Source organism: Homo sapiens, chromosome 15, assembly GCF_000001405.40.
Source record: "Homo sapiens chromosome 15, GRCh38.p14 Primary Assembly".
Lineage (NCBI taxonomy): Eukaryota > Metazoa > Chordata > Mammalia > Primates > Hominidae > Homo > Homo sapiens.
This window is the reverse complement of record NC_000015.10, coordinates 67,127,671-67,141,638: the sequence shown is the minus strand read 5'-3', so window position 1 is coordinate 67,141,638 and position 13,968 is coordinate 67,127,671. Positions and strand designations below refer to the sequence as shown.

The 13,968-nt window shown below is 47.3% G+C and overlaps 1 protein-coding gene across 9 annotated transcripts in view, besides 2 other annotated features; it reads right to left on the bottom strand.

The window, feature by feature from the left end:
* Nucleotides 1-13,968, bottom strand: part of SMAD3 (SMAD family member 3) — a 129,568-nt gene that overhangs the window by 53,531 nt on the left and 62,069 nt on the right. Inside the window, exon 1 of one of the 9 annotated variants that reach the window (NM_001407016.1) lies at nt 3,117-3,618. The exons of 7 other annotated variants lie outside the window; for them this stretch is intronic. Coding sequence is in view for 1 of the 2 variants with exons in the window: in NM_001145103.2 (NP_001138575.1) it covers nt 3,539-3,612 (74 nt within the window). In the remaining variant the exon portion in view is untranslated. Of the gene's footprint in view, nt 1-3,116; nt 3,619-13,968 lie in introns of those variants that run through there. One more of the 9 variants, NM_001145103.2, reaches the window with a different exon arrangement.
* Nucleotides 5,914-6,058: an enhancer, noted in NCBI's record as "145 bp enhancer 105 fragment used in the MPRA reporter construct; PK_construct_853". NCBI's record gives its function as "activates an SV40 promoter by MPRA in HepG2 cells {active_cell/tissue: HepG2}" and the evidence as "EXISTENCE:reporter gene assay evidence [ECO:0000049][PMID:23512712]".
* Nucleotides 5,980-5,991: a transcriptional cis regulatory region, noted in NCBI's record as "FOXA motif; enhancer activity is reduced when this motif is scrambled". NCBI's record gives its function as "necessary for full MPRA enhancer 105 activity {active_cell/tissue: HepG2}" and the evidence as "EXISTENCE:site-directed mutagenesis evidence [ECO:0005528][PMID:23512712]".

The window sequence follows — 13,968 nt, the reverse complement described above, 5'->3', positions numbered from 1 at the left end:
GCTGTTCTGTGATTTTTGCCGCCTGGTCCTGGTACAGCCTTCAGGGACTGCCAGACAAGGGTCCCTGGCTGGACTCTCTCTGCTCTAGCTTCCAAATCCCCAGGGCTTTCCTCAGCTGAAGACTGTCTCATCCTGGGGACTACTGCTGGGTTAAGCTGAAATACAATGAACTTTACAGGGTCTGAGAATCGGACCCAGGTCTTTCCCCAACATTCCCCCACTGAAGTTCCTCCCACTGCATCCATCTTGGCCATAATCTCAGGGAGAAGCATGGAACCATCCCTGTGCAGGGCATAAAGAGTCCACCTGCATGAGGAAGACACAGCTCATCCCAAAATGTAGACTAGGAAACATGGCACAACACAGATAGTACGTTGAACATAACAGGTGCTCAATAAATATTTATTGTGCAAATGATCAATCGAAGCCAAGTCAAGCTCCCTTTCCACTTCCCCACCTCACTTGCGGTCAGCCCAGGCAACTTCCTTAAGAAACTTCCCGTTGCCGGAATTGGGAGACCCAGAAGACAGCCATCAATTGATCGGTCTGGGCTGGAGGTCAAAAACAGGCAGCTGCCCACTGCCCACAGATGTTGTGCTTGGCCTGCAGAGCGTTTTTAAAATTTTTAAATGGTTGCCAACTTTTACAAACTGGGAGATTTTGTGTGTAAATCTTGATTTTTGGCTTCTCTTGAAAAAAACTCAGAAGATCTGGCAACAAGTTGCTACTGTCTGATGCCGACTTGCCAATGCCCCCTTTAGACTATGAATGAACCCCAAGTTCTGCTCCGTTTCCTTACACCTGGCCCCATTTCCCACACTCTGTCTGTCCCTGTGAACACCTCAGCTTGCAACCCTAGCCTAAGCTTCCAAAGGGGAAGGCGTCACTCCTTCCAAATCAAAACAGAACTCGAAGAGACTGAAGCCTGGGTTTTGTAGCGCAACCACAAACCCCCGTTTGTTCAGGACAGTTGGGTTCGCATGTGTTGACCTGGTGTCATTATTAATAGCGTTCCCTTTCACTCTCACTGTCCTGTCAGGCTGCCTTGAGTCTCTGCCGGCTCTAGACCCACCTGTCATACCAAGGATTCTGTACCCAGAGCCCTCAGAAGGTCATTTGCTCTCTGCATAGTTTCTCAGCCTGGAGATTTCAAACTTCCTCCTAGCAGAGTTTATTCTGCAGCATGCTGCTAAGGTAGGCAGAAGTAAAGAGAGAACGGTGGAATAAAGAGAAGTTAGAAAAAAGAAGAGAGCTAAAGGAGTCTCTACTCAACTCTACCTCCTGGGTACCATTTCTCTTGCCTGAAACCAAAGTGAGAACTAAGCTATCACCACTCCATTTTCAGTGGGGACTAGGAAGGAAGAGAGAAAGGAGGTTTTTGCGGTGAGACAAGACACTCATCAATCTGTACTTAATGTCTCTTCCAGAATCCCCTGCCCTCTTGGATCAAACACATTCACTTAATCAAGCACAGCTTCCAGCAAACACATTCACTTTTCTTTCTCTTTTTTTTTTTGAGACAGAGTTTCACTCTTGTTGCCCAGGCTAGGATGCAATGGTGCCATCTCGGTTTACTGCAACCTCTGCCTCCCAGATTCAAGTGACTCTCCTGCCTCAGCCTCCCAAGTAGCTAGGATTACAGGCATGTGCCACCACACCTGGCTAATTCTGTATTTTTTTTTAGTAGAGACGGGGTTTCGTCATGTTGGTCAGGCTGGTCTTGAACTCCTGACCTCAAGTAATCCACCCACCTCGGCCTCCCAAAGTGCTGGGATTACAGGCATGAACCACCACACCTGGCCTAAACACATTCACTTTCCAAGCACAGCTTCCACCCATGCCTGTGCCATACCTGGTGACAGCAGATATGCTAATCTGACTGAAGTTGGTCAGGGTGAAATAATAATTCTACTTACCCAGCATTTTTGATCAGTTAACATTTCCCAGGGCCTTTTAACATAGCTGGAATCGTACCTGGCTTAGGAGGGGGAGCTTGGGGAAGGCACAGGCATGGGAAGAAAAGCAGGTGATGCAAGCTGCTTTCCATACCAAACCCTAGCACCCAGTCAGCCCAGGACCCACCAGGGCTGCTACAGCTTTAAGTACACCTTAATTCCAGCCACAGTCATTAAGGAAGTTTTCTATTTAACCCTAAAATCAAAGTATTCCCTTCCCAAACTTTAAAGGGTTAAAGGCTAGGGAAGAAATGATTTCATTGAGGGAGGAGGGGTAGAGAATGCTCCCCTCCCCCTAATAAAAATTCTGGCAAGAGCAGACACAGTGGGGAAAAGCAAGCCAGGAAACCTAATATTGCCGTCTTGACATTTTATAGGAAAACCTGACGCAACGAGATATCACGGGGCATCTGAGGTTTATTTTTTTTCCCCTAATGTGAGCAAAGAGAAGAAATCTGGTTCTTAAAATCCTCAAGATCCACGTAAACTTAAATCCCTCTAGCCCCCTTCTTTTCCACAGTGAGCACAGAACACAAGAATCGCTGCCGCCAGAATCTGTTTTTAAGTTTCCTTTGGTAGCTGCCTCAGATATGCCCAAGCCCATTTTATGGGGCAACGGAGAGCTAATATAAGGCACAATCTGTGTCTAAATGCATTTCCGACACTTCAGTCTCTCAAAGGTAATTTTGCAAATAGGCACAGTGAAGGGCTTTTGCTTTGAAGTGGGCTGGGAATCGGCTACAGTTCCTTAAACACTGATCAAATTCCACTAAAAGAGTAAAGAGAAAGCACATTCAAAGAAATTATATTTCATATCTTCCCTGATCAAGTCAACCAACTGCTTTGGAGGGTTAATGGGATGGTGTTTTCACATCTTCCAGGGAGGGGAGGAGGTGAGGGGTATTTATAAATTCTCAGCTGGACTTTTTGGTTAAAGCTGCTCTTATTGATCTAGACAAACACAAATTATGATGCCTGGCATGGCTTGTATATACAAATAGCCATGTGAAAACAGTCACAGGCCTAATTGAAGGAGACAGCAAGAAATCAAAGGAAGAAAGAAAGAAGGAACAAATGCCCAGACCCACAGAGCAGCATTCCAGCTGCCCAGAGAGGCTGAGCAGGGGCTTTTCCTTTAAGGGGAGATGGATGTTTACTTACACAGATGAATTCAGTTCCCCTGGGTTCAACTGTCCCAGGGAACCGCTCAGTACAGCGATGACTGGAAAGGAACAAATAGCTCCCCTCCCCAGCACGCTCTCCCCACACTCTGGAACCCTCTTCCGCAAATCCACTGCGATGGCAAGCAAGCTCCATCCTGGGGCCGGGGGAGGGGGGGTTCAGGGGAGGGGAGCAGGGTCCCAGAGCCCAGAACCAGGCAGAGGGCCCTGAGCGACGCCTCTGCTTCACCCACACAGGGGGTTTCCTACAGTTGCTTCCTGACATCCTAAGAGTCCACATCCCCACCCAGAGAAAGAGAAGCCCGGAGAAACTCTGACAGATCTCTGGCCAGCAACCCTGTGGACGGGTGGGGAGACGAGTTCAAGAAAGAGAAAAGACATGTCCCGGCACGGGGCTCCTACCTCCCCATCCACCATGCTTTCCGGTGTACCAGAGCTGCGCCTTTCCACGTTTGCCTAGGGTGCAGGCAAGACATGTTTGTGAAGTTGGGAGGTCACAGGGACGGGAGGGAGGGATTCTGATGATAAGGACAATACAGCCCTTCCTAGAAGTCCGAATTCTAGTACCTCCTATTTTCTCTGTCGCTAACAGAAGAGCCCTGGCAACACCCAGACAGAAGAAATCCAAAGGGAGGACAGTACTTTGCAAGCTTGTTTCAAACTCTTCAAGAAAGCACCAAGACATTTTGACCTGCCATTCTGACCCTATGGGCCTTCTGGCCAGATTACCAGAGAAAATTCGGCTTGAGAGAAATGATGCACCCCAAACAAAGCTGGTGATCAACAAAGGTAAAATTACCCACCAAAAACATTTGTTGAAAATAATAAGCAAACTGAAAAAGCACACTCCTTGCTACATTTAAAAACTGACCCTGAAAAAATCAAACCTCATAGAAAAAACTTCAACACAAAATAAAACTGAAAGCAACTAAAACTGCAGACCATGAAAGTCACTAACCAAAAACTGATGAAAGAATCCAACAACTCAGATATGCAAAATTTTACCCAGGACAATGGTGGAAAGAATGGCAGAAGCTAACATGAGTACTAACAGCAAGCAAGCCAACAGAATCAGAACCAAATTTTGTGGTAAAATGCACATGGGAAGGTAGTGATCCTAATGAAAATAATTTCAGTTTAAAAAAGCGAAAAGGAAGAACTTATGAAGGAACAGCTTCATATTGGTACACAGAAAATGGCTGTGGTACTAAATCAACTTGCAGTGCTGATATCACCTGGTTCAAGTGTTTATATCTGTGAACCAAATAGGAACATCTACTGGGAAAAAAAATGACAAAACAAAAAAACACCCTTGTCCTTTTTCAGAAAAGTGGTCAAAAGTCAAGCCTTGGCAAAAACCACAAACGCAGCCTGCTCCGTCTTACACTTCCCAGCTTCCTTGAAGGAACCAGGACTCCTCTGTTGAGCACTTGTCACCTTGCCTAGATCAGCACCAGACACCAGAAAGAGGTCAGACCCCAGCCTGATGAACTGGCATGGTGGGTAGACCACCAGGAGATGCCCAGCCCTGCCCATTGAGCTGACCTCAGGCAGGTGATGGCCTCTAACCACCTTGGGGACACATATCCTATGGTCAATGGGGCCTGTCTGCTACGAAACCTGAAGAGACCATGGTACCACTCCCCACCTGGAGAAGCCCAGGGATCTCCATCCTCTGCCCTTGGGGGGATGGGGAGAAAATATCTCTATAGGGTGGAGGTTGGGGTAATAGGGCAGTCAGCAATTTCACTCTTTACTTCTCCATGTGTTCTAAATTTTCCACAATAATTATATATTACAGTTATGTTAAAGTGGGGAGGGAAGCATTAAAGACAAAAGCCAAAACACCTGCTCTAAGAATAACTGACTCTGGGCCGGGTGCAGTGGCTCATGCCTATAATCCCAGTACTTTGGGAGGCTGAGGTGGGCAGATCACCTGAGGTCAGGAGTTCGAGACCAGCCTGGCCAACATGGCGAAACCCTGTCTCTACTAAAAAATACAAAAATTAGCCAGGTGTGGTGGTGCACGCCTGTAATACCAGCTACTCAGGAGGCTGAAGCAGAATTGCTTGAATCCGGAAGGCGGAGGTTGCAGTGAGCCGAGATTGCACCACTGCACTCCAGCCTGGGTGACAGAGCAAGACTCCAACTCGAAAAGAAAAAAAAAAAAAAAAGAATGACTGACTCTGGGATGTGTTTCCTCACATGAAAGGTTCAGATGACCCTGGGAGCTCAAGATGGCACAATCTTTAATGTATCTGCAATTATGCAGGGTTGAAAGTTCCAAGTTTTAAGTCAAAGGCAATGAATTTATAATTTTGAGATTTCAATTTGAGAGCAGTTAGGTTTGTTCTGTGATCTTGAATCACTGATCTGGCCTTGGATATTCAGCCTTCTTTTCCCAAAAGGTGATCATTTGCTTTGGTGGTTCAAACACATTGCAGTGGGGTTATTTGGCTTTACAAATAATACACTACAAAATTCTAGCTGGGAAGGACACACACCAATTTAAAAGAGAGTAAACACCTGTGAAACGGGAGCGAGAAGAAGGGGGAAGGGGTTGGAGTAACAGGAGGTCTTCAGCAGAAGGTTTTTATTTTTAGTAAAGAAAGAGATGTTACAAATACCTGATGTGAATATGGAAAATATTAACGTTTATTAAATCTGGTAGAATACCACTTGCCCGTAATTCAAATGTTTCACGTTTTTATAATACGATGAAAACACACACACATACCCCACCACCAACAGGCCAAGGCAGGGCAATGCTTCTGGCATCTTAGAGAGGGTGTCTGAACCAGCACAGAGGCAGAGGAGAAAATCAAAGTTCAAAGTACTGCTCTGGTATGTAAACACTGAGGAAATTCTTGGCCTGAGAGTATACACAGCAATGTATTAACTTGTCTTCTGAAATTTGTTATTACAGGGAAGAAAAGTTTTTTTTAAAAAAAAACAATTAAGTGGAAGGGAAAATGAAAACTATCATTTATTTATTTAGAGAGGGCCTACTTGGTACCAGGCACCCTGCAAGAAGTTTTGGCTCTCAAATTATCTAATCTTAACAATGAAAAAGGGTGTTTTGACCCCTTTCTGTCCCAGATGAGGAAACCAAGCTTCCAAGGGGCAAAGCCACTGGCCCACAGCCTCAAGCAGTCAGGGGACTGTGAAGGGGGCAGGCTGGGCCCGGGGGCTGCCCCTGGATTTTTGGTACAGGCTGGGACCCAGGGTGAGAAGAGCTCACTGGAGCTTATCTTTCTTACCCTCACTGGGGGTCACCCTCTCTCCCCTACAAACCCACGTTTTGCCCCTCTCAGTGCTAGAACCCAGATTGCTGACCCCTGGCACAGAAAGGAACCTTCCAAACACAGCTCTTCCCGGCCATCTTCTCTCCTGTGGCTCCAAAACCAGGCCAGCTCTGTCCCTAGCACCTGCCCAGCTCCCAGGACAAAGCCCCCAGTGACACCCCTGCTTCCACTCTCCCAGCACAGGACCCCCTGGGTACATCTCCCCAGCAGGACCCTGGGGGCTGAAGGGCAGCCAGCTTCGGTTCCAATCCCAGCCCCACCCCTCAGTGGCTCATCAAACATTGCCTCTTTAAACCTCAGATTCCTTGTCTGCAGAAATCTCTCAGCATTCTGTCTCACCTCTGCCGTGAGTGTGAGGGGCAACAGCACACATAAAGCTCCCAGAGCAGGACCTGGCACAGAGTTGCACGATAATAGGTTATCATTGGCAGAATGATCCTTGACAACTCCGTGTAAACACAGTTCTTCTCGATCCTGGACTTCAGAGTCTTTGAGAGCCAGAGTCGCGCCTTTAGTAATTTCCCAACACCCACAGTATGTGGTAGCAGAGGAGGAGGAAAGAAAGCCCAAGGGGCTGGGATGGGTCAAGTGTTTGCCAAGGAAAGGGAGCTGGAGAAGCTGGAGGTAGGGTCGCTGTAAGCCCTTTAAGGCACCCCGAGCGTAAGACAACACTGAAGCAAGGACTGTGAACTCTCAGCAGTGGCTTTTCTTAGTGCTGCTTGCTCTCTCACACACACCACTGGGGAAATGACATCACAGGGCCTCACCTCAAATAGGTCAGGGGAAACAGCATTTCAAAAGGCCTTTCCTGCATCTCTCCGATGGCTGGATGGCATCTTAAAGGCCCCGTTCATCTGAGCTTAGGGAATCGCAGAAGAGCTCCTGCTGCAAATACCAAACACTGACACACATTCACCACTCATTAACCCCAGGCCAATTTCATTCACAGAGCAGCAGATTCTCAATGTGCAGTGGTGGGTGACTGGCTTGGTGGGGCGTTGCAGGGGTTGAGCCTTGGAAATAACCAGGTTTCTTAAGGGAAGGGAGAAACCACCACTTTCTCCCTGTGGCACTCGGTAAGCACCAGCACATCTGAAACCTGGAGTGACTCTGTGGGTGACTCTGCCCACATCATCCCATTTTCCTCTAATGAGGAGTACTGCTAAACGTGAAGGTGCTAAACGTGAAAATATCTCAAGTGCTGAACATTAAAGGCACAAGCAGACAAGCACCCAGGAGAGAGGGGGGCAGTGGCAGCTGGAGCACTGGCCAGGGAGTCAGAAGCAGAGCTCTGGTCCTGGTTCTGACCTTCCTGGCTATGTGACTTTAGGCAAGTCGCTTACCCTTCCTGAATCTCTCAGTTGCCTCATTCAGAAAATGAAAAGGTTAAAACAGATCATTCCAAAGGTCCCTGCCACTTTTCAGACTGTTGAAAAAGTGCTCTCTTCTGGGGAATATTTGAGTCGGCACTACTCTCCCAAACCACGGCCTTGAGTGAAAACCAAGGCAATTCTTGGTTCCATTCCCCCATCTGCTTCTGCTACAGTTCTGTGTGTTGGTCCCTGAAACATCCTCCCAACCCTTTCCTAATTTGCAGTTAATTGCAAGGAACTACACCTACATTCATTTTGGGGGTCACAAATGGAAAATACTAATGACTTTGTAAATTAATTTCAGATTTGGCTCCATTTTTCTGGCGATAGGATCATACTTTGTTTGCCTTCTCATTGTTTTTAGAGGCAAACAGAAACGCAGCCCATCCCCCAAATGCATTTAAAATCCCAATTAAGTTTTTCTAGAAAAAAAAAAAGGGCATATAATATTGGCATTGGCAAAGTTATGTTACGGTGTAAAAGATTATGGCTATAGGCCTGATAGTGCTCAAACAGGACAAATGGGACATGGTTTTCCTCTGGCCAGGAGAGAGAGATAAGAGGTCCAGAAGGGCTTTTCCCGTGTTCACCAGCAGTTCAGCCAATGTCATTGAGTTCACCCTTCCATAAAGTTAGACTGTCACAGCCACTTGCCTGGAGAAGAGGCACAGACCCCACATCAGGGAGGCCATGGTCTCTGCTGCTTGGGCTGGGCTACTGCATCTGCCCTGGGCGTAATACAGGACGGGCCACAAACAGTTTGGACAAGTGTTTAAAGAGGAGTGACAAGCAAGGAAGTGCAAAACATGGGTCAGAGGAGGAAGCTGATGATGCTTTGCAGGGAGGAGAGAAATCCAAGTGAACAGGGCAGAATGTCCTGAAGGACATAAGGCTTCATGGTGGGCTGTTTTAAACTGTGGAGCAGAAGTTACGGGGAGTCTGATTTCTGTTCAACTCAAGGAGTTTATCAGAATGAAAGAAAATGCAATGGTCTGCCTTGGAGTGATGAGTGGGGAGTGCGGCAGCTTGCTAATGATAAAAAGCCTGTCATCCATTTAAGCAGGCTTCCCCAGTATTCAGTACAGTTAAGCAAGGCACCTCATTCAATTCATGCAACAGTTCTGGGAGGGCAACAACTCAAACCTATTGGTGAGTTCACTGTCCTAGTGAGGAAAATGGGGGCTCACAGGTGGCATTATGCCCAAGTCACATAGCTAATAACTGCAGGTGCATTTGACTGAGACCTTCTGCCCAGTGCTTTTCCTCCCACAATTCCTCCCATTCTACAGCCTTGGAGTCCCTGCCTCTTGGGTCAAAAGGCTGGGTTTAGGAATGCTGTCTCCCTGCCCTCATCTGTCCTCACCATTCCCGCAAGAAGCACAAGCTGCACATTCTGGTCTAGCTTCCATCTTGCCTATGGGAGGGGCATATAGATTCCCGGGGTGGAGATGGGGCAATGTTCCTTGATTTTCCATCTCAGAAATGGGCAAAACAGTGAGGTTGTCCTTCTCAAAGCCCCATTCACTTCCTAAAAAATACGGTGAGGGTCAGGGTGAGACGTTCGCAGCATGGGAACTTGCTGTTCAGATAAGGAGATGAGACACATCCTCAGGTCTCTACAACACAGAATCTATGTGGCTGATCGCTGAGGACTCAGTTTCCCCCTCTATAAAGTGAAAGACTTGCTAGTTATCCTCCAAGACACCTTCCTATCATGAAGTTCCATGTCTCAGATGACCATCAGTTTGGACAGGGTTCTCTGCAGGTCTGCTTGGGCATAGGAGATACCACTCAAGGGTCCTCCCAACAGAGACAGGACAACAACCTGAGCTTGCCCTGCATGATAAGACAGAAGGGGGAGATTGGAGGAACAGACAGAGATGTTTTCACAAGGTTCACACACACTGGATCTCTATCTCCTGTTAATGCAGTGTTCTTAGCCAGGTAGTGTCCTGAAGAAGCACCCATCTCCTGGACAGGGTGATTTCTGCAGAAGAGGATGGACTGGCTGCCCTGCCCCCAATTAACACGTGGTAAAACTGAAGACCAGGTAAGGCCTCAAAAGAAGGTTCTGGCAAATCGGGCTTCATTTGAGGACCAGGACTCAACCCTGGTCACAGAGAGGCAGTGAGGTATAGTGGCTAAGTTAGGGCTCTCGAGAGAGAGGCTGGGACTGAAATCCCTAGCTTCATGATGTTCAGAAAGGTCCAAGTCTCTGAGCATCAGTTTCCTCCTCTTTACAGCGGGACTGGGAGGAATCCCTGGAGCAAACTGTGACCAGCACCCTGCGCAGTGCTTGGCATGCAACAGACATCAGCCACCATTCAGCAACAGGAGCACTGTGATTGCTCCTAAAAGTAAAACAAAACAAACACACTCAAAATGAAAACAACAACAATGAAACCCGAGAACACAGCTCGATGCCTGGCAAATAGAAACAACTCAACGACTATCTCCTGGCTGATGGCAAAACAGACAGAAAGAGGGACAAATGAGTCAAAGCCTCTTGGTTCTGAGGTCCCATATCTTCCATTCAGTACTATGTGACCTGTGGCAAGGGACTGACACTCCCTGAGCCTCAGTCAGCTTCGGGAATCTGCCGAGTACTCTGGAGGGAGATTTACACATGCGAAGCCGCGGGTCCTCAGAGAACATGGCAATAGCATGTAGGACAAGATATTCCTGCCGAAATCATTCTGGCCCAAAGCACGTGAATATTTGTGGAGTGAGTGACTGCATGAATCCATGCATGCATTCAAGAGCTTGCTCAATTCCAGCCTCCCCAAATCCTTGGGGATTCCCCGAGCAGAAAGTCTCAGTTGCTTGAAGGCTTGAGAAGTACTTAGCATTCCCAGCGTGGCAGGTAGAACACAGCCAAGATCTCTGGCCTCTGCAATTGCTGCCCACCACCACCTCCTCACCCCCACCTCATACCCCCCACTAGCTATCACCAACCCTGTCCACCGAAGGGTTAAAAGTGTCTGCCTTTCAGGCAGAACCTGTGATTAGACAGAATGCTGCTTTTACACATACACCACCCCAACCAAAGCAGGCCTAGGCCTTCTGAACTGATACCCTGAAGCTGTTACTGAACAGGCCACCAGCCCATGGTGTCCTTCCTGTCCCCTGGCACTTTCCTTGAATACTTTGCCTAAGTTGCTACGTGCAAATTCTCTTTCTCTGTGTAGGGCAGTGGTCCCCAATCTTTTTGGCACCAGAGATGAGGGTTGGGGGGGATGTTTCAGGACGAAACTGTTCCACCTCAGATCATCAGGCATTAGATTCTGATATGGAGTGTGCAACCTAGATCCCTCCAATATGCAGTTCACAATAGGGTTCACGCTCCTATGAGAATCTAATGCAGCCGCTTATCTGACAGGAGGCGGAGCTCTGGCCGTAATGCTCACTTGCCCACCACTCACCTACTACTACGAGACCCGGTTCCTAACAGGCCGCACACGGGTATCAGTCCACGGCCCCGGGGTTGGGGACCCCTGGTGTAAGAGAAGGAGGTCAGGTGAGTGGAAGGCACCTAGTACCGGAGTCAGCAGGCCCTATTCCAAATTCTAACTCTACCTGGGACTACGTGGCCTTGGGTAAGTTGCTGGGCCTCTCTGAGTTTCTGTTGCCTCATCTGTAAAATGCACATGATATTCATCCACCATGCAAGGCTGCTGTGAGAACTAAATGGAATGACAAAGGTAGAGTATCTAGCACAGCACTTGGGACATAGTAGACATTCAGCAAATGCAAGTTTCCCTTCTTCCTTAATGGGAAGAAGACCAAGCTCTGGTCCCACCCGGCTCCTCACTAGCTGTGTAACTCAGCCAGTGAGCTCAATGACTCCACTCCAAAATGCAGGTGACATCAACTGACCTAACGAAGAAATCCTGTAGCTGTGGTGTCCAATATGGTGGCCACCAGCCACATGGCAGCACTTGAAATGTGGACAGTGCAAACTGAGATGTGCCACAAGTATAAAGGACACATCAACTTCAGACTCAGTATGATAAAGAAGAATGTAATATAGCTCGTTAACAATCTTTATATTTGAGTATATGCTAAAGTGATGATGGTTTGGGATACACTGTATTAAACAAGATATAGTATTTAAAATTAATTTCACCCTCTCTTTACATTTTAACATGGCCAGAAGATTTTAGATTTTAGAAGTAATTGCAATTATCCGAGGGGAATACGTTCCAAGACCACCAGTGGATGCCTGAAACCAGAGACAGTACCAAACTCTATAGACACTGTGTTTTTTCCTGTGCATGTACACCCAAGACAAAGTTTAATTTATAAATTAGGCACAGTAAGAGATTAACAACAATAACTAATAATGAAATTAACAATTATAACAATATACTATCATAAAAGTTATATAAATGTGGTCTCTTTCTCTCAACACATCTGACTGTACTATATTCACCTATTTCCAGACTGTAGCTGACTGAAACCTCATAAGGCAAAACCAAGAACAAGTGGGGGCTACCATACACTGTAGCTCACACTACAGTGATATCCGGCAACACTGCTCTAGAAGGCTAAACAAACCTGAGTTACTGCTTGGCTATTATTCTTTCCCCAAGTAGACTGAAATTCCTTCTTGAGAGAGGAGTCCTGTTAGTTCCTGCTTTATGTTTCCCATAGTGAGGTGCTAAGTGCACATCACTTCCCAGGGGTCCCAGGGGTTGGGGACGCCTGGTGTAGAGGTAGGGGGACAGGAGTGTGGAAGGCATCTAGGATTGGAGTCAGCAGGCTTTATTCCAAATTCCAACTCTACCTGGGACTATGTGGCCTCGGGTAAGTGGCTGGGCCTGAGTTTCTGTTGCCGCATCTGTAAAACGCAAATGACATCCATCCACCACGCACTCAACACTCTGTGCTCAAGGTGCACATCGCCTTTAAGACACAGTGCTAATGGTGCACACCAAAATACTTTTAGAAGGCTGAGCGTGGTGGCTCAGGCCTGTAATCCTGGCACTTTTGGAGGCAGAGGTGGGAGGATCGCTTGAGGCCAGGAGTTCCAGACCAGGCTTGGCAAAATGGCGAGGTTCACTCTACTAAAAAATATATTTAAAAACTAGCTGGGTGTGGTGGCGTGCACCTGCAGTCCCAGCTACTTAGGAGTCTGAGGTGGGACGATCTCTTGAGCCCAGAGGTTTGAGGCTGCAGTGAGCTATGATCATACCACTGCACTCCAGCCTGGGCGACAAAGCAAGACCCCAGCTCTTTGAAAAACAAACTCTTAGAAATCTTAAGTTGGCCTTGAAAAAAAAAATCTTATGAATAAAATCTTAAGGTTTTCGAAATTATAAGTCACTATACACCAGGAACTATGTTCCTGGGTTTTACACACACCAGCTCTTTTAATCCTTCAAGAACCCCATGTTTTACAGATAAGGAAGCTGAGGCAAAAAGGTTGAGGGACTCGGCCAAGGTTACTAAGTGGTCAGGAGTAAAAGCAGGGATCTGAACCTAGCTGTTCTTACTCCAAGTCCAGGCTGTTCTCCACTGACCATGAAGCCAAGCAGACAGCCCGCTCTCCCTGTTTGCAGTATGACAGCCTCTAAATCTTACACATCTTAGAAAAACTCCAGCCCCAGAGATGCTCTACTTCCCATCCCCACCCCCAACAAAGGATTTCCCAGCAAGTCAGAAATGACAAACCACAAAACGGAGTCCGTGCATAACCATATCCACGTCTGGCCAAGGCTTGGTTAGCTCAGAGTTAGTCACATTTTAAAAGGGGTGAGTGATAGGGAAGGTGGATTCTATTTTGTTGCCTATGAACTTCCTGGCCAAGGGTGCAGGCTGCAAGTTGGAAAGGGAGAACTGGTGGATATCTGAGGGCCTGATAAGATATTTTTTCAGAGGAACACATTAGCAAGGCTGAAAATTTATTCCCAAGTTTCAGAAGCTCAGCTCCCCCCAGCTTCATTGATAGTCTCCCTACCACTTTCAGCCTAAGCTGTCCTCTGGCCTCTAGCCATCCACTCTAGCCTTGGACATGAACGCACTTTGGGGAGAAAGGCCCTGAGCCCGACACAGAATAGACTGACCATAAGCGTGTACAGTAGGATGAGGGGTGGGGTGAATAAATGGATGTACAAACCAACCAATCAATTTCAAAAAGTCTGAAGGTGCAGCA